The following is a 25732-nucleotide window of genomic DNA, read 5'->3' on the forward strand; positions in this document are numbered from 1 at the left end:
TGAATTCTGGTTTCTTCATATTCTCACCAACATTTGATGTGACCAGTCTTCTTAATTTTGGTCATTCTCTTGAGTGTAGTAGTATGTCATTGTGGTTTTAACTTGCATTTCCCTGACAACTCACGTAAAAGGCACCTATATTTATTTAAAAATAACTCTAGCAGGTGTATTTAGTATGATAAAACTATAATGCTACTATATTAAGTGTGCAGTCCTTCCCACCAATATGAAAGCAATGTGAAATAAAAGGACCACCTAAGGAGCAACCGATACTAGGAAACAGACCTGTCATTAATCTACTGTTTAGAGAGATTGCACTAAAACCCTGGCATGTATCCCACATAAGCACATGTACCATTGATCAAGGTAAAGATTAAATGGATTAACCATTCCTGGCTTTGATCACAGTTGCTATTTTTTATTATTAGCTGACAGAGAACAGCTCACACAGACAGTTGCTATTTTACGAGTTCTTGGGATAAAGAAGTAAGCAATACACTTACTAACACAGTTTTCAGATCTGAATGTTAATAAAACATGAATATTTACAAAACACAAAAGTAACAAACTGAGGCAATCTGTATTTTAGGACATCTTCACAAGGCTTTTATTACCATACTTCATTATTACTTTTACATTTGCTACTCAAATCACTTTGTTACATTTATGTTTTAGGTATTAAAGTGATTCTCATTACTTTTGTAGTACATATATGGTGGGGAGAGCAATAAATAAAATCTACTAGGAAAACATTTAGATAAGCTAAGATAAATCCCTGCCTTTTAAATATGCTTTTTTGATGTGAAAAGAACTATTTGGTTCTTTGAAGAAAATCTCAAATATAAGATGCTACATACAGCCAGGCATGGTGGCTCAAGCCTGTAATCCCAGCACTTTGGGAGGCTGACGCGGGTGGATCACCTGAGGTCAGGAGCTCGAGACCAGCCTGGCCAACATGGTGAAACCCTGTCTCTACTAAAAATACAAAAAATTAGCTGGGCACAGTGGGACATGCCTGTAATCCCAGCTACTCGAGAGGCTGAGGCAGGAGAATCGCTGGAGCCCGGGAGGCAGAGGTTGCAACGAGCAGAGATTGCGCCACTGTACCACTCCAGCCTGGGTGACAGAGCGAGGACACACACACACACACACACACACACACACGCGCGCGCGCGCGCACACGCGCTACATACTTAGGTTTACTAATACAAAGATCATGGAAGTGAAAAAACTATTCAAATAATTAATGTAAATGTAGTTTTTCCTCTTCAATGCTGTTTTTTTTTAAAATGACATGCTGTATCACGCTCTATGGGTAATCAACTTTAGTGGTTCATTTCTATGATCAGCACAAAGAACCTTCTTTCATGTTTACAAAAGTGACCTTTATATACTTAAAAACAAAATCAATGATGTATCCTTACATATTCTTTTGGATATTTTCTTAATTCATGAGGTAATCACCCAACAATTTTCCAACATTTATGGAGATATCTGTGGTATTCAGAAATTGTTCCATAAATTCAGCATGTTAAGCTATTGTGTGAAAAAATGTATTTGAAAAAATTTTAAAGTAGGTATGCATAACAAATTCAGGAGTAGAGGCTGTAGGTACAATAAGGACTGTATGGTAAAAGGCGCATCAGTGTAGCTCTGTGAAAACAACAACAACGATATGCCTTCTATTGCCTTTTTTCATGTTCAGTTTCATGCTCAGGATCTCCTTTGTCTACGGACTTTGTGATTTGGCCACATATCACTAAACATTACCACAGTGCATCAAAACTTTGGTGCTGATGAGTATGACACCCACTATTATTATCAGGGGCTCCGCTATGCCCACTTTATAAAATCGCCTCCAGCTTTACTATTCTTGGATGTGTGTACAGTGGGTCCAGTAATTCCAAGATTTGGCTGTGTACCTTGTAACTCCCAAGAATAAAAACAGAAATAAAATCCTCCCAAGTCTGAAAGGATTATGGTAAATGCAAATTCTCACAGCTTAACTAACCTAACAGAATTTCACTTATTTAGGTATATGGCCTTTTCATACAAATTACCCCCATATGAATAATAATAGTTTTAAATCTATCAATTTCTTGTCCCTGAGGTAAAGTGAAGTAGCTGGATGGTATTTTGTGACTTATGGCACTGGTATTTCAGGTCCCACTTGTGCAAACACATTTCCTTCAAATATTTATTTGAGATATTTGATTAAGTCCTCAAATATCTCAAATGAATATTTTTATCTACTGCTACCAGTTTTGAAGTTCTATTCACTCCTCTTTAGCCTTTTGCTCTGTGGTGTCGGTCCCCACGACTCTTTTGAAACTGCTCTGTAATGGTTCCAACTGACCTACACAATTTCAGAGGCTCTCTACTCAGTCCCTACCTAGCTGCCCACTTTTTATTCTTAAGAGTTCGGTGTCTTTTTCATTATTTTTATTATTTTTTTTGAGACAGAGTTTCGCTTGCGATGGCACGATCTCGGCTCACTACAACCTCCGCTTCCTGGGTTCAAACGATTCTCCTGTCTCAGCCTCCTGAGTAGCTGAGATTACAGGCATACGCCACCACGCCCGGCTAATTTTTTGTATTTTTAGTAGAGACGGGGTTTCTCCATGTTGGTCACGCTGGTCTCAAACTGCTGACCTCAGGTGATCCGCCTGCCTCAGCCTCCCAAAGGGCTGGGATTACAGGCGTGAGCTACCGTGCCCACCCTCGAGAGTTCACTGCTTTTAAACACTCCCTCTCCCATTGCTCTTGTCTTCCTCAGACTCCATTATCCTGCACTCAGACTCCATTATCCTGCACTCTCTGGGCTCTTTGGTACTCTGCTCACTGTTCTGCTCCTTCTCAGGTTCATTCGTTGGCTTCTCAACCTCAGTTTGACCTCATAAATGAAACACTGCTCCCCAAGTCTCTGGTCTTATCCCTTTTCACTCTATTTCTTCCCCTTTGGGGTCATATACTTTCAGGACTTAATTATCACCCCTATGAGGATGTTCCCCAATCCTGGCTACATTACTGATCTCCAGTTGCTTGCTATTCTTGTCCATCTGTAGGGATGGCCATTCAGTTGCTCAAGCCCAACATTTCCAAGCTCAGAGTCAGGATCTTTCTCAACTCAGGCCTCCTAAGAATTCTTCAAATGAGGAGGGCTGACAATGAGGAAAGAGCAGGGGCTCTAGAACAAGATGGATTTGGAATCAATTTGTATACAGTAAAATGTACCCCTTTAAATGCAGTTTTTGCTTTCAGGATCATGCACCGGATGAGTTTTGACAAATTTATATACCAGTGTAGCCACCACTCCAAAGAAGATCTAAAATATTTCCAGTACTCCAGAAAGTTCTCTCATTTTTCTTTGCAGTCAATTCCTGACTCTCTCCTGGCCTCAGGCAACCAGTGATCTGCTTTTAGTAGGTAAGTCCCCTTTTCTAAAATTTCAAATAAATGTAATCGTACAGTATGTACTCGTCCATGTTGCTGCATTTATCAGTGGTTTGTTCCTTTTTACTGTTAAGTAGTATTCTATTGTATGGATCCTATTTGTTTATCCACTCACTTGATGAACATTTCGGTTGTTTCTAGTTTTGGCTATCATGAATAAAACAACTATGCATATTAATATACAGGTCTTGGGTGAATATGTTTTCCTTGACTAAGTAAGAGTGGAATTGCTAGGTCATATGCCAAGGATATATGTTACTTTAAAAGAATCTGCCAATTTTGTTTTCTAACATTTGTGTACCATTTTATTCCCACCAGCAATGTAAGAGGTTCGTTTGCTTCATATCACAAAGGCTTTAAAAAAAATGTTGTAAGTCATTTATGTACACGCCTAATTTGTCATTTACATAAGTACTCATTAATTCATCAAGAGGGATAGCTAGTATGTGCTAAGCACTATGCCATATATATATCTATATTTTCTTTTCTCCATAAGGCACTGCAATCGATTAAAAACACTTAACCCTAACTGGCACATACCAAACTGTTGATGTGCATTGAGGTTTTTTTGTTTTTTTTTTTTAATATTAGCACCAAATTTTTGGGAACGGAGTCAAATTTACTTGTTGGGTGTTCTAGAGTTACATCTTAGAAAATACCATTTAAACACGTTTTCAGCTCTTCAAATATTAGCCTTAGAGCAAATTCCTGGAAAATTTGCACCAATTTATAACTATTGCAGCATTTTCACTTTTTTCCAATTCTTTATGAAGGCTTAAGTTTTTATTATGTCTATTCTTTTTGTATATCTTTAATAATTTTTAGTATAATTTTAGCATATCAACACATATTCTTTAAAAAATATATATCCTATGAAACTCTTCTTACCATATTATTTGCTGAAATCATAAAAATGTAACCCTAAAAAACAGATGCTTCTGCTTACTTCTCTTTTTGGAATCTTATGCTCTGTTCACTTACTGGTGTCCTTATGGTTGTATTATAGAAAATTTAATATTTTTGAATGTCCAAATAATTTCCTGATAGTTCATATGTAAACAATGAATACAATTTTGATTTTAATGGAAATGTAAAATTATCACACAAACATCCAGGTATTTTATGATAAACCTAAAATAATTAGCGTCCACTTACCTTAAAAAATTCCCTTTTTTCAATCATCTCATTACCATCTGTATCCAGCATTTTAAAAGCAACATGAAATCCAGAATGGGGTTCTGCAGTGAAGTGAAAAATGAATATTTAAATGTTGATGAAAACCAAGTTATTTGTAGATAGATAGGTCTTCAAATTTGACATACACTAGCAGAAACTGTATGAGTAAGTGCCTACACAGAAAAATAATGATTTCTTATAACAATTCCAAAGGCTGATATTTGGTGTTATGGCTTTGTTCCCTGCCTTCTTCAACACTCTTTCCATAGGTGCTGCTGCTCTGCTAGTAAGTGTTCTCCCTTTCAATGCAAAATTAGTTTGTAGGCTTAATTTATTTCTTTAGCTGCACTAGGGGCTTTTCTATATTCTTACAGTACCTTGGTTATTTTCAAATTAATGATTACTTTTTATTTCCCTTTCTCAGAGTACTTAAACAACAACAACGTATTTTGCAATCATTTTAGACTTATGGAAATTTTGTAAAGATAGTACAAAGAGTCCACAGAGTCCTCTAATTTTTCTTTTCTTCCGAGACAGGGTCTCACCTGTCACCCAGGCTGGAGTGCAGTACCGTGATCACAGCTCACTGCAGCCTCAACCTCCTGGGCTCAAGCAATCCTCCTACCTCAGCCTCGACAAGTAGTTGCGACTACAGGTGTGCACCACCACACCTCGCAAATTTTTAATTTTTTTTGTAGAGATGGGGTTTTACCATGTTGCCCAAGCTGGTCTCAAACTCCTGGGCTCAAGCTAAAGTGCTGGGGTGAGCCCCCACACCTGGTCTTCCTCTAATGTTAACATCTTACATAACCACAGTACATTTATAAAGACTAAGAAATTAACATGGCACAGCATTATGAACTACACTATCGACTTAATCTGGGTTTTATGTTTTTTCACTAATGCTGTTTTCCTATTCTAGGATTAAATATAAGATACCATGTTGTATTTAGCTGTCATGTCTCCTGAGTCTTCTCTAATCTGTATCAGTGTCTCAGTCTTTTCTTGTTTTCCATGACCTTCACACTTTGAAGAGTACTGGTCAGGAATTTTGTATAATGTCAGATAAGCATTTTTAAAGCCTAGACTACCACTATGATTCTCTAGTTCAACAAACTTCCTATTAAAGAGACAAAGCTATGGGCTGCTATAGTGCACAGGAGGCAGAAGTGACCCAAAGAGATAACCTAATCCAACATTATCATTTTGCAGATATAGAAACTAAGGCATCAATAATGTTTTTAATGATAAAGACATAAATGCCAAACTTTTAAAATCCTGTTTGGTAAGAACAGAGAATTCCACATGATCTCTGAGAAAAACTGTGGGATACTTACTAGTGAGGATTGTAAGCAAGAAAAGATACTCGGTATATGAAATTAGCCCTGAAAGAGATAAAAACATACCAGAAAATAAGCTTTAGATGGTTTAGAATATATAGAGACATTAACATTGAAATTTCACCTAATTAAAAAACAATTTTACTTTAAATTACCTCTCTTTGATACAGTGGAAAATTTTTATAATAGTTGAAGTAGAGGCCTAATACTTAAAAAAAGAAACTATGTTTCATCAGGTACTGTTACTAGTAAGGAAGTTGTGATGGTTGGTTTTAAGTGTCAGTTTGACTGTGTCACAGACTGAACATCTTGAGTGTCCAGATTAAACATCATTTCTGGGTGTGTCTGTGAGATTAGCATTTACATTGGTAGACTCGGTAAAGCAGGCTGTTCTCCGCAGTGTGGGTGGGCATTATCCACTCTGTTGAACAAAAAGCAGAGGAAGGAGAAATTCACCCTTTTTTTCTGCCTCACTTCTTGAGCTGGAACATCTTATCTTCTACCCTCAGATGGGTTTACACCATTGACTCCCCTGGTTCTCAGGCCTCCAAATGTGGACTGAATTACACCATCAGCTTTTCTGGGTCTACAGCTTGCAGATGGCAGATCATGGGACTTCTGTACCTCCATAATTGCATGAGCCAATTCTTCACAGCCAACCTCTATCTAAATCTCCTATTGGTTCTGTTTCTCTGGAGAACACTGACTAATACAGAAGAATCGAAGCTGGCTCGCAAATAACAGGCATCCACTACAAGTTTTATTTACATGGCACTTTAGTTACTTCTACTTAAAGTTTTACTATGCATAACATCTCAAGTGAAGCAAATTTATAAATTCAGTAGAATAACAAGAGACTTGGGATATACTGAGAGTCAAATTACACTATTTAAAACGTAGTAATTAGTTCTTTGTAGCAGTAACTTGATTTTTCCTTTGGGAAATCATTCTTTGTCAGTCTCAAATATGCAGTTTGGGTAGGATGACCCTACCTTTGCCTCTGCAAGTAAATGCTAATTGGCTGAAGCCAATCACTGCATTTCTGTGGAACTGATGCAGGGATGGGCAAGTAGCTCAGGCCCAAGCTAATAAGGAGGTTGCACTAGTCTGGCTCCAGGGACTGGTTCAGGGATGGGCTAACACCTAAGTTGGGCCACTCATGAGTAGTACAGCAGGATTTCTGATGCAAATGCTGGATCACTGACTTTCACATTTTTATTTTGTGCTGGGCTTTGGTGATGTGAGAATGTTATTCTCAGGAATGTGAGGCAATGGAGAGAGTGCCTGGAACTGCCAGAAGCCAGTATTTAGAGCACGAGAATGTAGCCAATCTTTAATTGCCAGATCTGGAAAATGAATATGGTGATGTTTGAGCCCTGGATGAAGTTGGGTTTGAAGCTAACTCTGTCTAGTCACTAAACTTTCTTGCTTGCTCAAGTACATTGTGTCAGGTTTTAGGCTGCTTACACAGAAACGATATCTCAAAAACCATGGCTTCCTGATATGCTAAAAAACAATTGTTCCCTCCGGATCAAAAGATTGGTATAATAGCAAAATGCACAATTAACAATTAAAAACACTTTTTTAATCATGGAAAACTTCAATCATATGCAACAACAGAGAGAATAATATGATGAATAATTATATATAATTATATTAAATAACACAATGAAACTCAGCACCAATAATTATCAATTCATGGCAGGTCTTGCTTTATCTATATTCCTTTTCACTCCCTACCTCCCACTGGATTATTTTGAAACAAAACCCACATATACATATCATTTCATAGTAAAAAATTCAGCCTGTATATCTAAAAAAAACCTCCCTGCCAGATAGTTACCACACCTAAAAAAGTATCAATAATTCCTTAACATCTTCAAATTCAAATCAGCATTATCAATTTTCCTGTTTTAGACAAGTTTTCAAGTGTGTTCAAATGAGCATCCAAAGAAAAGTCCTTACATTGCACTTGGTGAGTAGGTCTCTTAAATCACCTGTTTTTAAATATTGTGGTAAAATAAACATAACATACAATTTACCATTTAAACCATTTTTAAGTTTGGTAGCATTAAGTACATTCACGCTGTTGTACAACCGTCATTAGAAATTTTTCATCATGCTAAACAGAAACACTGTACACATTAAATGTTAACTCCTGAATCCCACCACCCATTCCTGCCTCTGGCCCCTGCAACCTCTATTCCGCTTTCTGTCTCTGTGACGTTGCCTATTCTATCTAGGTACCTAAGATGAATCATACGATATTTGTCCTTTTGTGACTTGCTTATTTCACTTGGCATAATGTTTTAAAGGTTCATTCATACTGCAGCATATGTCAGCATATCCTTCCTTTTTAAGGCTGAATAATATTCCATTGTACCTATGTACCACATTTTGTTTATCCACTCACCTGCTGATGGACATTTGGGGTGTTTCTACCATGTGGTTACTGTGAATAATGCAGCTACAAATATTGGTGTACAAATATTTATCTAAGCCCCTGCTTTCATTTCTTTTGGGTATATACCCAGAAGCAGAACTGCTGCATCATACAGTAATGCTGTGTAATTCAATTTTTTTTTTTTTTTTTTTTTTTTTTTTTGAGATGGAGTCTTGCTCTGTCGCCCAGGCTGGAGTGCAGTGGTGCGATCTCGGCTCACTGCAAGCTCCGCCTCCCAGGTTCACGCCATTCTCCTGCCTCAGCCTCCTGAGTAGCTGGGACTACAGGCGCCCACCACCACGCCCGGTTAATTTTTTGTATTTTTAGTAGAGACAGGTTTCACCATGTTAGCCAGGATGATCTCGATCTCCTGACCTCGTGATCTGCCTGCCTCGGCCTCCCAAAGTGCTGGGACTACAGGCGTGAGCCACCGCGCCTGGCCAATGCTGATTTAATTTTTGAGGAATCGCCCTACCTTTTCCACAGCAGCTGTGGAAATACAAATTCCCACCAAATTTCTCCACATCCTCAACGCTTGTATTTTCTTTTTTTTTTTAACTGCCAACCTAATGAATGTCACGTGGTATCTCATTGCGGTTTTGATTTGCATTTCCCTGATGATTAGTGACGTTGAGTACCTTTTCATGTGCTTTTCATGTGTATATCTTATTTTGAGAAATTTCTACTTGAGTCCTTTTCCCATTAAGAAAAGTTTTGTATAGTTCTTTACATATTCTGGTTATTATCCCTTATTATATATATGAATATATACGATTTGAAAATATTTTCTCCCATTTGTGGGTCTTTTCTTCACTCTCTTGACAGTGTTCTTTGATTCACAAATGTTCTTAATTGTGATGTAGTCTTATTTATTTATTTATTTATTTATTTATTTATTTATTTTTTAACAAGGTCTCACTCTGTTTCCCGGGCTGGAGTACAGTGGCACAGTAGTGGTTCACTGCAGCCTTGACCTCCCAGGTTCAAGCGATCCTCCCCACCTCTCAGCCTCCTGAGTAGCTGGGACCACAGGCATGTGCCACCATGTCTAGCTAATTAAAATACTTTTTTTTTTTTTTTTTTTTTGGAGAGACAGGGTCTTCCTATGTTGCCCTGGCTGGTCTTGAATTCCTGGGCTCAAGTGATGCTCCTGCCTCAGCCTCCCAAAGTGCTAGGACTGCAGGTGTGAGCCACTGTGCCCAGCTTTCCTGTCTCTTATGTCTCTCTTAATATATACGTTTTCTCCCTTGTCTTTTTTGCCCCTACCTTTCAATTTAATTGTTGAAAAAGGTGGTCATTGGTCCCATAAAATTTCTAATAGTCTATAAAATTCTGATGACTGTATGTCCTTGGTATCATTTCACATGTTCCTCTACCTTCTGTATTTTCTACAAATGGTACTTAAATCCAGATGTGTGCTAAGATTCAGGTTTGATTTTGACAAGAATTCTTCACAGATGGCATTGTATACTTCCATTAGGAGGCCAAAATGCAGATGTTTACAGAAAATACTAGATACCATAGAGAGATACGAATAGTAAGAGTTACAAAAGTTTAGAAAAATGTGCAGGCATTTACGGAGTTTAGATGATCAAAGATGTCACAGAGGAGGTAATTCTAACAGTAAACTTTGAATGATTGGTAAAAATTTTAATTAAGCGGATGTGGTATAAATGGGAAAGCTATTTAAGACAGATGAAGCTGAATATGAAAACTGCAAAGTGATTGTCTGAAATAATGCTCATGTGGAAGCAGCAATGGGAAAAAAAAAAACTACTATGGTAGTTCGGACAGGAAGAATAAAGAGCTGCAGAGGGTGATGACGGTGGGAATGTATTTACCCTTCTGTGCAGGACAACATACCCTAATGACTCCCAAGCAAATAAAGGAGGGAGTCAGGGCCAAAGGTAGTTCAGAGCAAGGAAAGCAAACATGGTATTATTAGATGATTCCATGTTTTAACTATAAGTAAATATTTTAAATGTTTTCAATGGCTTCCTTTTTTTGAATTACCAACTTTTTGTTGTTTCTATTTTGGAGCAGGTGTACTTTTCTTTAACAAAAAGACTATAGTACGTTTTCAGATTTTCTTTTGCTTTAAACTATTTAGTCCTTCTATAAAGGGAGAATAAATTAAATGTGTTTTGTCATATCTTGTACCTGAGAGAAGTGCTCTAATGTTAGCTGAAAGATCAAAGTATTTCATTCTTCGGCAGCCTTAAGAATTTTTCTCATTTTCAAAGGAATACGGCAATGTGAAAAAAATGGCCAAACCTCTAGACTCCACTGGGCTTGATGCCAGAAGGAGGCCTTGCTTTTCTTCTCTTTAGACACAGGTACAGGTCCTTTATGCAAGCAGAACTTTTTGAAAAAGAAAATTCCAGGGTCTTTCTTTGAAATACTGACTTAAATAAAAAGCTTGAATAATCACAGAGTTGAGACAGTATAAAAACAGTACCTTTCACTCTCAAGGTGGGTTACAAATAAACAAGGTAGTTCTACAACAGCATTCTAGGCATTTGCCCTCTGAAAATGTTTTTAAAGAAAACTGACACACGAGAATATTGACAGGAGAAACAGCTTAATATATATTTGTTATATCTAATTGTAAAGTAAATGCTGTTAAATGGCAATGATTCAAAACTGCATTAGGACAGTATTTTAAATAATTTATGTTTAAAAGTTTGTTAAAGAATCTCTTAAGAGGGACACTAGGAGAAACGAGTAAGTTCTGACTTTTTCCTCTCCTCACGTCAGACAACCAATATGTTGTCCTTGTAAACAAGGTTTGAGGGAGGCGCATCTCACTCATCAATGTGAAAACCCAGTCATCACACTTAAGATGAATAAATTCTGTCAGTTACAATGCTTATCTAGAAATATTAAGATGGAACCATTCTAAAATATGACCGCTGTTAAGTACAATTTTGTGAATCCTGTTTTCCAAAGAGATTGGATTATCCCACCTATTGCAAGAATATATTTATATCTTACAACATATCTCATAATTTATATTCAGTATATTTTTGAGGATGGTATTAAAATTATGCTCAGTTTAAAAAATATATATATAGTAAACTACAACTTCTTCTTCCTTATAATAATACGTGTTGGTAAATTATTTTCTTATTTTAGGAATGTACTACCTTTTGCTAGTTACGATAGAGTATAAATTTTGATAGTTCTTATATGTGGTAAGATGGAATATTTCAAAGGGTCCCAAGTATAACTAAGTTTTACATTGTTTTTCTTCAAATCACTATTAACAGCAACAGTAAAGTATATCTTTAAAAAGTGTATCTTCTGAATCTTTTATAAAATAAACATTTAGTGTTTTTTTCTTTAAGTTGGAAATGTACATGTCAACTCATGTATTTCAGGGAACTAAAAAGTAACTGTTGTCTTTCCTCAAGATGTTTCCCTATTGCACTTGTAAGCACTTTTTTCCTATACTATCAGATCACAATCAACATTACAGACAAGATATACAAGAGTCTCAGCCCTTCCACTGTATTGGGCTTCCTCACAATTTAATAAACAATTCTACTGTTCTCTGTTTGTTCAGTCAAAAACAATTTATTAAGCATATACCACATGCTAGCCATTGCGCTTAGACCTCACAAGTTTACAAAGAAAAGGGCCTTTTCCCTCAAGGAATTTATATTCTAAGAAGTTAGCAGATGACACATAAACCAGCAATTATAATAAAACGTGGTGAGAAAGAATATATAAAGAATGATGAGAATGCAGGGGAGGGAACAATTCTTTCTACTGAAGAAGTTAAAAACAATTCCCAGAAGAAGTGAAGCTTGCGTTAATTCTCCAATGAACAGAAGGCTGGGAGAAGGTGGTGAGTCAGAGAGTAGAGGGAGAGAGAGAATGGCACAGGCAAAGGGAAGAGCGTGTGCAAAAGTATGAAAGCGTAAAAAGACGTGGCACACTGTGCAGAATGGCAAGAGAGGACAGCAGGGAAGCTTATGCAGGGCACAGGACACAAAGGGCTTATATACACCAAACTAAGGAAGTTAGATTTTATTTATTAAGTGACAAAGTTACTTGATCTGTTTCCTATTCTCTAGAGGTAGGGAGAAGAGAAGATGAATTCGATAAATACTTAGGTAAAATTGGAAAGACTTTGTGTTTGATTGAATATGAAGGGTGGGAGGGGCAAAGAGAGAGAGAAAGGGTTCTAAGATATTTCTTGGGTTTGGGTGAGTTAGATGAAAGCTTTTACTACCAAATGAGATCAAGAATACAGGAAGTGTTGGTTTAGGGGGAAGACGATGAGTGCAGTTTGGCATATTCTGAATCCAAGGTAACTGAGAGAGATCCAAAACCAGGTGTCTGGCAGCTAGTTTGTAAATACACAGATGGCTGAGGCTCAGGAGTGTAGCCTGGGCTGGAAGCACTGAAAGAGATTTGGGAGTCATCTCATGAATGCTAAAACCAAGGAGGCTGAAGAAGAGTAGTAAGTGAAGGACAAAATTCTATGAAGTGCCAATGTTTAATAGGCAGGAGGTGGAAGAGGGCCAATGACAGAGAGAGACTAGGACAGTGTGGTTTCAGAGAAATCAAGAGGACTTGTGACACAAACATTTGCCTAATTAACAGATCTTTCGTTGACATGATCTCAGGCACTGTGTCAGAAGTTTCATGTAAGTCACTGTAACCTTGAAGTAGATATTATCATCTCTATTTTACAGATGAAGTAGGCTTTAAAGCAGCTCATAAACCACAAGCTACACAGGAGCTGGGAGACTCTATATATTCAGCCTGTGAAGGCTTCTCACAATTAGGGACACTCTTCTTCCAGCTAGAATGTGGTACAGTAGATGTGTTGGAGGGATGGAGAAGGGGAAGGATCAGGGTTGAGACCCCAATCAGCGTGGGATAAAAGTACAGAGAAGTCTAAGTATAGAAAAGTCTAAGTTAAGGGTGGCCAGCATTTGGATGAATGGTGAGAGAGCAGATCTTACACCTTGCCCTTTCATGATACTTCTAACGCTTCCCAATTCTGTAACTCTCCAGTTCTGCCTCATCTTTTACCTGCCAATTGCTTAATTTTCTTGTCATCCTTAAGTTACATCTTACAGTCCTGATTTCCCTGCCAGTCCTTTATGAATGTAGGAATGTAAGTTGATTTTCCTCCCACAGCCACTGCATGTGCATTTTAAAAATTTATCTTTGACTCTGTAATGAATGCTATGTATATTCTCTATCCTTACAGCCATTTACTGTTTCTGGTTCCTTTTAAAGCCTCCTTCCCTCACCCCTTCCCCTCTCATCATGCTCATTCCTCTATTTCTCGTATGAATATCCTCATAGACTTTGCCTAAGGGGGGAAAATCCTATTTTTCTAATAGTTCATCACTAAGGTCTTTCTCCCAATCATCCGAAATACTGGGTCTTAATTCTCCTTCAAAAAAAAAAAATCCTGGAAATATATGATTAATGCTGTTGTTCATTCTGAGAACATAAACAGTCCTCCATCTATGTAAATAACAAAGAAAGAAAACTATCTAATGAGGAAAATGTGTGTGCAGGCTGATGAATTTATCTCCTTGATAGTTAGAAAGATTATCTACTATGTCTCTCTCTCTGAAAGTTAAAAAAATAAAAATAAAAATAAGTTACTGGGGTGGCCACTGAGGGGGTCGGGGAGGCTGCACAAGGTGGCGAGCCCAGACAGCCAGAGCAGCCCCCACCCCAGCCATACCCACCACCGCCCCAGCAGCAGCACCAGGAAGAGATGGCGGCCGAGGCCAGGCAAGCCGTGGTGCCCCCATGGACGACGGGTTTCTGAGCCTGGACTCACCCTCCTACGTCCTGTACAGCGACAGAGCAGAATGGGCTGATATAGATCTAGTGCTGCAGAATGTTGGCCCCAATCCTGTGGTCCAGATCATTTACAGTGACAAATATACACTCTGGAAATGATTAAACTAGTACCACATAATGAAAGTGCCTGCAACTATTTGAAAGGGATTTTGCAGGATCGTGGTCTTTCCAAATATCCTAATCTGTTAAGTCAATTACTTGATTTACAACCAAGGCATAGTTCCCCCTACCTAATTGCCTTTCTTGTGGTTATCTATGAAGACATGCTAGAAAACCACTGTGACAAAAAGGAAGACATTCTTAATAAAGCATTAGAGTTATGTGAGATCCTAGCTCAAGAAAAGGACACTATAAGAAAGGAATATTGGAGATAGATTGGAAGATCCCTTCAAAGCAAACACAGCACAGAAAATGACTCACCAACAAATGTACAGCAATAACACCAACCCGAAAAACTTGATGGAATGCTTTTATTTTTTATTAAGGGACCCTGCAGGAGTTTAAAACGAGAGTGGTCCTTCCCTTTGCCTGTGGTGTCAAAGTGCATCACACAGGTATTGCTTTTTAACAAGAACTGATGCTCCTTGGGTGCTGCTGCTACTCAGACTAGCTGTAAGTAATGGGATTCTTCTAAAGCAAAGTCACTGGATGGGAGGAGGAAGAAAAAGTCCCATAAAGGAACTTTTGTAGTCTTATCAACATGTAATCAAATCCCTTAGCATCAACTCTTCCTTCAGTAGTACACGCGTCAAGATTTGTAGAAGTAATAACTGCAGGTCATTTGTATGTAATGGATATGAGGTAGCTGAAGTTTGGTTCAGTAAGCAGGGAATACAATACAGTGGTTCCATCAGAGCTGGTCTGCACACTCACGTTATCTTGCTATCACTGTAGCCAACTAATGCCAAAAAAACGGTTTTGTAATAAAAGCATAGCTGTATCTAAAAACAAAAACAAACGAACAAAAAAAGAAGTTACCGATATTCTTTCTCAGTATCCTCTAAAAACAAGTACCTATTTTTTCTCCCTTATGGCACAGAGGCAGCAAAGCTGGTAAAGAAATACTACAATCCTTCTGGAGACCAGAATCCTGACTTCTGGATGTGACAACAATCTAACAGGATTCTCTGATGCAGACTAGCAGGAGGTATGAACACCCCTCCCAAGTCTTCCTCTGCCAATATGAAAAGCTGCTCCACAAATCTTGCCCCTATACGTAGAGGGCGAATGAAGAGAACACTGATCTCAATTTCAAGAAGAAACTAAAGAACATCTACAGATTTTTCTTCTATCTGAAGAGTCAAAACTAATTAAACTGCAATAACTTTCTACCTTGTCTTCAAATCTCTTTACGTTCAAAACTTCCATTAACCCATTTCATATAATCTCCACTACCATTTGCTATCTTCATACCAAGAAAATAAAATGTTTGCTTACTGCTCTTTGAAATTCCAACTCTTTTCATACTTATGCCTCAAAAATATTACTTGTCAATAAAAAGAAAAACATTTTACTTGTCATTTGCCAAGTACTCTCCCAATTTTCTCCAAAGTTTGTTAAATCTCATTCATATCTTCATTATCTCTCACGAGATAGAGAATTTCTCAGTGCTCTTTCAGGACTGACTAGTGAGCCCCTTCCTTCAAACTCACCCCACTAGAATGATCTAATTGTTTGCTTCCCCAGCTTAGGTGGTTCTTGTTGAATTTCATCAAAAGAGACAGAGAAGAAACAACTAGGATGGTGAGAAAAGCAATACAACAAAGTATGGGGTCATAGAAGCCAAAACAAGGGGCTGTTCTGATGTAGATAATATATCAAATACTGCCGAGGTCACATAAGCTGAGACTACAAAATGTCCTCATTGAATTGGTAACAAGGAGGTCACTGGTGATCATGACAAAACAGTGTCCACGGTGGAGTGGGTACCAGGCTGAAATGAGCTGAATGAATGAATGAGAGGTGAGGAAGTGAACACAACACACCAGGGAATATGGGGGTAAAGGAAAAATTTTTTACTCTAAAAAATGGGACATACTTTTAAGTTTACATAAGGTAGGAATAAGGTAGAGAGAAACAAACTGGTGATGGGGTAAAATAGGGAAAAATATCAAAGTAGAAAAGTCTTGAAAGGGAAAGAAAAGAGGCCTAGAGCAAATACAGAGACATGGGCTTATGTTGTACAGAATAGATCTATAAAGATAGCAAAGACAGACAAGATGGATGCAGCTGTAAGATGCAGATGCAACAGCAGATTTGGAGGTGAGTTCTTTCTTTCTTTAGGTAAAGAAAAAATGCCTTAAAAAGTTTATTAAATTCCACGGTGTATAGGATATACTTCATAATGAATCCAACTAATTTTAATAATTATCTTTATGATTCTGAGTATAGAATGATTTTATATATATATTTTTGTAATCAATAGTAAGGCAGCGCAATTTTTTTTTTTTTTTTTGAGGCAGAGTCTTGCTCTGTCTCCCAGGCTGGAGTGCAGTGGCGCAATCTCGGCTCACTGCAAGCTCTGCCCCCCGGGTTCACGCCATTCCCCTGCCTCAGCCTCCCGAGTAGCTGGGAATACAGGTGCCGGCCACTGCGCCCGGCTGATTTTTTGTATTTTTAGTAGAGACGGGGTTTCACCGTGTTAGCCAGGATGGTCTCGATCCCCTGACCTCGTGATCCGCCCGCCTCAGCCTCCCAAAGTGCTGGGATTACAAGCGTGAGCCACTGCGCCCGGACAAGGCAGTGCAATTTTTAAAAATTCTATTTGTGTTTAATACTGCCAGAATCAGATTTTTCTTCTTCAATTAAGTGACTGCATTTTGTGACTAATACACTTTGAAATAACTGTATACCACATTAAATATGGTAATACATCGAATAGCCCTAATTTAAAAAAATAGCTAGGGAAAAGAAAAAATATCCTACTACAGTTGCAGGTCATTAACTATTAAGCTGATAAAACATTGCTCATTAGGAGGCAGAACTTTCTTCTAGTATATCTTAGAAATAATTCACATCAAAGTCAAATATTTTGATAAAGAGGAGATAAAAATTAGAGGATAATTTCATGTTTTTATTCAGATATCTGATAAAGAGGAGGCTGAGGCACGAAAATCACTTGAACCCGGGAGGTGGAGGTTGCAGTGAGCCAAGATCACGCCACTGCGCTCTAGTCTGGGCGTGAGACTGTCTAAAAAAAAAAAAAAAGAGTTGATGCATTATTTCTAAAATGTATGAAAGCATTACTACAAAATGGATCTAATTTTGCTGACAAAATAATACCAAGTAATCCTTTTTAAATTTTTAAATATTTCCTTTTCCTTTCCTTTTTTTTTTTAAGACAAGGTCTCACTCTATTGCCCAGGCTGGAGTATAGCGGTACAATCGTGGCTCACTGAAGCCAGCTTCTTAGGATCAAGTGATTCTCTCCCACCTCAGCCTCCCAAATAGAGGGTATTACAGGCGTGAGCCACCATGTGCAGCTAATTTTTTTATTTTTTGTGGAGATGGGGGTCTCCCTATGTTGCCTAGGTTGGTCTTGAACTCCTGGGCTCAAGTGATCCTTCTGCCTTGGCCTCCCAAAGTGCTGGGGTTACAGGCATCAGCCACTATGCCTGGCCCCAATTAATACTAACTGGGAAGAAGACCAACATAAATTATTGAAAGTTTTAACTGGGAAATATTTAAAAAAACACGTAGTCTTCATACTTTCAATACACAGAAAGGCTAAAAGTGCATAGCAAAAATACTCAAGGGATTCACTGAAATAGATCAGGATAATTTGTAATTAGCATGTAGTTAATTTTAGATGAGCATCTATTATGTGTCAGAGAATGTTTTTAGGCAACATACCAAGCAACTGGGGATATAAAAATAACCACATATATTTTTCCACTTTGAGATTATGGCTTAATTAAGAAAGATTAGAAATCAGAGAGTACAGTGTAACAAAATACAAAAAATGAGAAAGCATAAGACTGTTTATTGGTTTCACAGATGACTTCATAGAGTAGGGTAGCTGAGAAGTGGAAGCTGTTTAGCAGGGAGCAGGAGTATGGTAATTCCATATAAAGGTCATAGGCAGCACTTGAGGCACTACCAGGAGTCTGGACTGTGAATGCAGCAATGAAGCTGTACAGGTACTTCTTTTCAGAAGCACGGTATGCTTCTAAGGTTTTGAAATGGGGTTGTCTTTTCAGTTTTTGAAGATTAATCTCTTATCTCTCAATTTTTTTTTCCTTAAGATGATTTAAATTTTCTCTCTTCAGTTTTTATTTTACTCATTTTTCTTGAAAACACTTTTTAATAGAATTTCTAAAATCACATTATATTTATGTAGAGTTTTACACAAAAGCTGAATTAATCTACTCTGGCTCTCATATTCTGCCTTTAGATCAAAATTATTATAGAACCCTCCCCAGCCTTCCTTACTTCAGGAAAAAAACATCAAATAATCATAAGATAACTCAGTTTATATCCACAGAGATTATCTGAGTTTTCACAACTGGTAAATATCTTTCTTAAGAGTCTCAAAATGCTTCCAGAAAAGTCTATATTATGGAAAGGTACCTCAAAGCCATAGCTCTGATCTAAATATTGGTACTTGAAATTTAAACATCTTGCTTAAAATCTACTTTAAAATGCCAAATTAGTAATTTCCTAAAGTAAAACCTTACAAAATATTTATTAACTATGATTTTAAAAATACCATTTATTTACAAACTCATTAAGAGGCTAAGGCTCAGTTAATATTAAATCTTACAAAAAAATATAGCAATATTACCAATTATAAACTTAAAATGTACCAGACACACAGCAAGAAAACTAAAACCAACTTGCCCAAGGTTACACAGCTAATAGAGCTAGGAATCTAAACCAGGCTTAAAACCCATGTTCTTAATATTTTTTAAGGCTACATACCAGATACTATAAATGTTTAAAATATCTTATTTTATTAAATTCTTTCAACAATCCCATAAGGAAGGCATTACTATCTTATTTTAAAAGGTGATGAAAGTGAGGATGAAAGAGATTAAGTAATTTCCCCGGGTCATAAAACTAGGAAAAATTTGAATTTAAGTCTGTCAACTTCAAAACACACACTTTTGTTCACTAACCATATACTACATTCCAGTAAATTCCCACTATAAAAAATTTAGGAGCTTGTTAACCTCAAAGTCTATAGGGATGTTCTGGTGCTATGACTGGAAGGAATTGGTAAAGGGTGGGGTGAAGTGGGTATAAAGATAAGTAGACAGTTTAGTATAAGGAACTAATACTCACAGAATATAATGAAAGTCCACTAAATATTGATACAGAATGTACAGAAATAGATATTTATCAATAAACAATAACTGATTAATATTGATTTTATGGAGTTATTATACCTTTGTCATATTTTTCTTCTCCATGGAGTGTTATATGATAAACTTATTCTCAATTTAAAACTAAATTTTTTTTTTTTTGAGACACGGTCTTGCTCTGTTGCCCAGGTGACCACACACAGCTCACTGCAATTGCAACCTCAACCTCTCGAGCTCAAGCGATCCTGTCACCTCACCCTCCCAAGTAGCTGGGACTACAGGTGTGCATCACCACGCCTGGCTAATTTTTCTTTTACATTATTTGTAGAGATAGAGACTTGCTATACTGCCCAGACTGGTCTTGAACTCCTGGGCTCAAGCTATCCTCTTGCTTCAGCCTCCCAAAGTGCTGGGATTACAAGCGTGAGCTAATGCACTCAGCCATAAAATTAATGTTGATTTGAGAATGTTGTAAATCTCTTGAGATAACTGTAAAAGCTCTGCTGCATTCAATGAAAGGTTATAAACCACTGATTTAGAAATTACATTTGTTTCTTAATTCTCCAATTCCTTCTTTAGACAACAGGAAACAATAATTAATTTATCACCAATCTCAGGTGAACACTTTTTCTACACTTATAAAATAAGAGTGGTCCATCTCTCAGATCCTTGATAAGGTTCACTAAATTAACTATGCCAACTTCTATTTTAGCTGTCTATTTCTACGGTCACTCCCTGAACCCTGAAATCACCTGCAAGTGCTTCAGCTTAGAAACTGTAAATTCAGACACCTACTCTATGACCATGGTTGTTTTCTGCTCTTGGACATCCACTACATCTGTTTTCAACCTCACTGGCAGCTTTCTCTCTAGGCTTTTTTCTATTCCTGGAGTTTATCATGAAAAGGGGATTTTTTTCCCTCTTGACTTTCCTACTTTCTTTTTAAATTTTTCTTCCTATTTTACTTTATTCTCTATTGTCTCTGCTTAAACTCCATGGCTCATTAGTTAAAACCTCTCTTGCTCCTAACACTGTTAACTCCCTAGGCCGTGACTTCCTCCATTCTTCTGCCTAGCAAATCCTAACTGTCCAACTATTCTAATCTACAACTACACTGATCAATGACTCATTCTTTCATAATCTATGTTCTCTTCTAGTCCTTGAAGGATTCCCAGAAGTCTGTTTCTCTCATCAGTTCTTTTTCCATATCCCAGAAGCTACTTCAAACCTTCTTTCTCCATAAAGCTCAGACCTACTATATCCAACATTTTCTTTCTTTCTTTTTTTTTTTTTTTTTGAGACAGAGTTTCACTCTTGTTGCCCAGGCTGGAGTGTAATGGCATGATCTCGGCTCACTGCAACCTCTGCCTCCCAGGTTCAAGCGATTCTACTGCCTCAGCCTCCTGAGTAGCTGGGATTACAGGCACCCGCCACCATGCCTGGCTAATTTTTTGTGTTTTTAGTAGAGACAGGGTTTCCCCATGTTGGCCAGGCTGGTCTCAAACTCTGTACCTCAGGTGATCGGGCTGCCTCGGCCTCAATGGCCTCCCAAAGTGCTGGGATTACAGGCGTGAGCCACCGCACCTCACCCTAAATCCTATTTTATAAAGAAAATCAAGGCTACTCCAAAACACCTCCCTCATTTGCTTGCCAGTAATTTGCAAATATCTGCATAAAATGCTCATTTGTTCACCCTTTTCTCCTGATACAGTGGGAAAGACATCCTCCCTGTGGAATGCTGATCCTTCCACTCCTGTTCTGAAGACAATCCCTTCTTTCCTATTTTCCAGGATTTTGTCCTATTCATACTTCCTTTGTATTGTCCACCTCTCCTTCTCATCAACAAGAAACATGCTCACCACCTAAAATAAACCAATATTCTCTTGGCCTTTTTTCTCTACCCTTAGCTACTACCCTCTAACTCCTCTGTTCATGACCATGTCTCTCAAGAGGTCTGCGTTTACTTTTCTCATATCCGCCCTCACGTCTCAGTGCTCTGCAACTTGGCTTTAGATCTCATCCTATCACTGATCTGTACAGTTGGCCCTCCGCATCCATGCATTCAACCAACCGTGTATCAAAAATATTAAAAAAAAAAGGTCTGGTGTGGTGGCTCATGCCTGTAATCCCATTACTTTCAATGGCCAAGTCAGGAGGACTGCTTGAGCCCAGGAGTTTGAGTCCAGCCTGAGCAATGTAGTGAGACTCCCGTCTATACTAAAATTAAAAAAAATTAGCCATGTATGGTGGTGCACACCTGTAGTCCCAGCAGGCTGCAGCAGGAGGACTGCTTGAGTCCCAGAGTTTGACGCTGCCGGGAGCTATGACTGCGCCACTGCACTCCAACCCAGCAACAGAGCAAGACCCTGTCTCAAAAAAAAAAAAAAAAAACCCCAAACAACCCACACCAATACAAATAAATAGAGTTACAGAATATAACAACTATATACATAGCATTTACATTGTATTAGGTATTATAAGTAATCTAGAGATGATTTGAACTAAATGGGAGGATGTTTGTAGGTTATACGCAAATATGATGCCATTTTATATCAGGATCTTGAGCATTCTTGGATTTTGGTATCCAAGGGGGGTCCTGGAATCAATACCCCATAGATAACAAGGCACCACTGTACTTGTTAAAATGTCAAACACTTCCAGCTGCTAAATATAGAGGATACTTCTCAGTCCTTAGCTCACTCAACTCCCTACATTTACTTGGTTTTGACATTTGATAAGTTCCCTTTTTCTTTAACACTTTCTCTGCTTGGCTTCTGTGATAACACTCTCCTGGCATTCCTCTACCTCTCTGATTACTCTGCCATGACCTCTTTCCGTCCACTCCCCTAAGTGGTGTGGCTCCTCTGGATGCCCTTGAAGGCTTCTCATCTTTTATTTTAGATACTCTGCCTCATACCCTCATCCATTAAAACATTGATGTTTTAATAATTTATCTGTAATTGCTCAAAGACTTTGAAAAAGTTACCTCCTTACTTCATGTTTTAAAAACACCTATTAAATAACATGGTACAAATCTCATACCTTAATTCCTTAATAATACTTCAGTTAAATAAAACACATAACTAGAAATTTAACAACAAACCAAAATTACCTTTATCGCCAAGGTCTCTGAAAAAAGTTGATCCACAGCCAGCTGTTTGGATCCCTGACAGTGTATCCTCGATGTCCTTTGAATACACATATTAAAATTAAACTTCTAAAAGTTCATTTTCTTTGTAGCTGGGACTACAGACGCCCACCTCCATAGCCGGCTAATTTCTTTTTGTATTTTTAGTAGACACAGGGCTTCACTGTGTTAGCCAGGATGGTGATCTCCTGACCTCGTGATCCGCCCACCTTGGCCTCCCAAAGTGCTGGGATTACAGGTGTGAGCCACCGTGCCCGGCCAAAAGTTCATTTTCTATCTTACCAAAAACAAACCCTGCCCCCCACAACATGATGCTTACCTTTTTTGTCAGCTTCTTGACTGAAGTTTTACCTACAACAAATAAGAAACATTATTTAGTATCCATATTCTTTGGTAAAACTCAACTTGCACTAAGAAAGAAAATTATTTAAAAGACAAAACAAACAACTAAATATTTATTTAAAAAGCAAAGGCTTGTAATTTTAGCTAATATCCTTAAGCCATAATCATGAGTCAGAGAATTCTAAGACTAAACACAAAGACACTACAGTTTTTCACAAGATCCATTTTCAATTTCACTCACCCTATTTCATACATATGAAATTGTATATAACCATCTATGATTTATCCTAGTTGTATGAATCATATTATTAATTCTTGTCAAACATAATTTCTTCACATGATTATTAAAATCACTCTCTTTTTACTTTCATTGATTTAGAAAAAAACACTCATGATTTATAAAGCTTCCTTTTTTTGAACTCTGGAAAGTCCTCTTAGGCTTATAACTCTCCAGTCAAATGTAAAAGTCTAGCCAACATAACCATCCATTCTAAAGTAGTTATTTTTAATAATTTCCTACTGGATAACAGAGATTTAAAATTCTTTCAGGTTTTCAGCCACCCTCTTTACTGCCTACATCATTTTCCTAATATCCACCATAATTCTAAAGCTATTACATTGTTTCTTTTTTTTAGGACTTACTCTGATGATAGCCTCAAATCATTTTAAACATCCAGAACAAAACTGAAAAATGTTTTATTTTGTTTCTTACATAAGCAATATACAGCACTAACTTTACTTATTGCTCTCAAAATTATCTTGTCTATGAAGTTCCTTCAGCACAATTACGCAGTCTGTAGAAATTCAGGTGGCACATTAAAAAAGAGTGCTTTTAGATGTGGCTTTTCTGTAGTTTGGGTTGTTTAATTTGGACGATAAATCTACAAGGGCAAATTCTATTATTTGGTATTAGTAAACTGTCAGGATTTTATTTTTACATTATTAGTCAAAACATTACTTGTGAATATGACTACATACTTTTTAGAAACATCTATGACTATGTTTGTAAGCTTAGGTGTTGTTATTTTGGGATAATTTTTACTCACTGGAGAAACTATTATGTGCCAGCCAAAGACAAAGAGCCCCAGATTCTACTGTTAGGTGTTGTTATAGTATCAGATAATCAAATAGATAAAAATTACCATTTATTGGACAAATCTAAGTGAGTGAATGTGTATATAATACGTAGTCATATAATGCTGATAATGAACTCCAAAAAACTGTGTAATACATGTATTTACTTATCTTTACATAGTCAATTAACTTAAAAAAGAAACTGATCATTATTTCTATGCTTGTCCTAAAGTTACGCCACAAATAGTCATTACCATGTACCCTTTTATTTTTAGACAACTAAAATTAGTCTTATCTGTTTTTAAAAAGCGGATTAATCCTTACATCCAACTTAAAGTAGTCTAGAAAGCAATGATTGACATTTTGAAGGCAGAAGAGGATCAAGAATTTAAGGTAGCAAAATGGATGGTGTCTAAGAGTTTCTTAGAAATCAGATTATTTCTAAGGGGTGTTATCTGTTTGAAGGCTAGATTCCTTTTTGGTCTTTCAAAAATCTGTTAAAAAAAAAAATCCTTCTACTTGAAACTGAGTGAGTAAAGAAGGTAATGTTTGCTTCCCTCCAGCTAGAAGTCTGGCTGCCAAACAGGTAAGCCAATAAAATTCAATACTATGTGAATGAAATACCACAATAAAGTCATGAATTGATTGAATAATATAACACCAGAATTACAGGTAAAAAGTAAATTATAAAATCTATGGAGGCAGATTTCATACCTGTCTTACTTTTATGTAGGTCAGTGCTAAACATTTAAATATTTGTTGAATGAGTAACTGAATAAACAAATCAGAAAAGATTTCACAATGTCTTCTTATCCAGGTCCCTGTCTTTTGGATAAATTATTATATCCCCACTTTACATGTAAAACAAATTGGCAAGAGGAATTAGGTAACAATATGGGCCTTGAAGGATTTATTTTCATATCTCATATAGATTTTTCAAAAACAGGTGTTAGACTCTTTGAATTCCATGACAGTAGTAAAAAGAGCCTGCGGCCTACTTTCAACACTTAACAAAACTGAATAATTATGCATGGTACGATTATAGAGGCAGTTTTGCTGCTTTTCATTATTTAATGTAGATTACAAGTTCTATTTGACATGTATATAAAAATTTGATCATCAAAAAGGAGAAAACCAGATACTTAATGCAGTTTAAGTTGTAAAAACATCTTTTTAAATTTTTTTAATTCAAATGGAATAAATAATTAGAAAATAATGAAGAAATTAACTTTTTGATTAAAAGTTTAGAAGCTAGTCTCTTACATAAAATTCATTTTTAGATTAAAAAAAAAAGACAAGGCAAAGATACTAGGAATGAACACCCGTTCTCTCCTGCTTCCTCTTTCTCTTCAGTTAATGCACCTCTCCCTGAGTATTATGAGAGGTTGTGGTGTTTCTAATCCAGAACACTCTGGCAGGGTTTTCTTGGTAGACAGTTGTCTCACCCAGGATGCTTACTCTATACTACTTGTTCATGGCTGAGCAGCAAAATAAGAGGTCCATGGTCTGACCTGCACAGCAGGAGCCATGACCTTTTTTCTCCCTACAGCAGTAACAAGGCAAGAGCATATTAAATACACCTAAGTATTTCTGGACAATATTTTTCTATTTAAGG

At 37.2% G+C, this 25732-nt stretch overlaps 1 protein-coding gene, 1 non-coding gene and 1 pseudogene across 6 annotated transcripts in view; 1 reads left to right on the forward strand and 2 right to left on the reverse strand.

Annotated features, from left to right (window-relative positions):
• The window catches only part of MICU2 (mitochondrial calcium uptake 2), a 111480-nt gene that overhangs the window by 23946 nt on the left and 61802 nt on the right, over positions 1-25732 (reverse strand). For all 5 annotated transcript variants that reach the window (NM_152726.3, XM_047430142.1, XM_017020433.2 and 2 more), the window contains 4 exons: positions 23021-23052; positions 22666-22741; positions 5967-6014; positions 4609-4691 (listed from right to left, as the gene is read on the reverse strand). In NM_152726.3, coding sequence (NP_689939.1) covers positions 4609-4691; positions 5967-6014; positions 22666-22741; positions 23021-23052 — 239 coding nt within the window. The remainder of the gene's footprint in view (positions 1-4608; positions 4692-5966; positions 6015-22665; positions 22742-23020; positions 23053-25732) is intronic.
• LOC124903270 (small nucleolar RNA U13) lies at positions 11164-11264 on the reverse strand. Its single transcript, XR_007063969.1, has one exon. It is a non-coding gene; the product is annotated as a small nucleolar RNA U13 (small nucleolar RNA).
• Positions 14050-15198, forward strand: FNTAP2 (farnesyltransferase, CAAX box, alpha pseudogene 2; annotated as a pseudogene).

This window comes from Homo sapiens, chromosome 13, assembly GCF_000001405.40.
Source record: "Homo sapiens chromosome 13, GRCh38.p14 Primary Assembly".
In the NCBI taxonomy this organism is placed as follows: domain Eukaryota; kingdom Metazoa; phylum Chordata; class Mammalia; order Primates; family Hominidae; genus Homo; species Homo sapiens.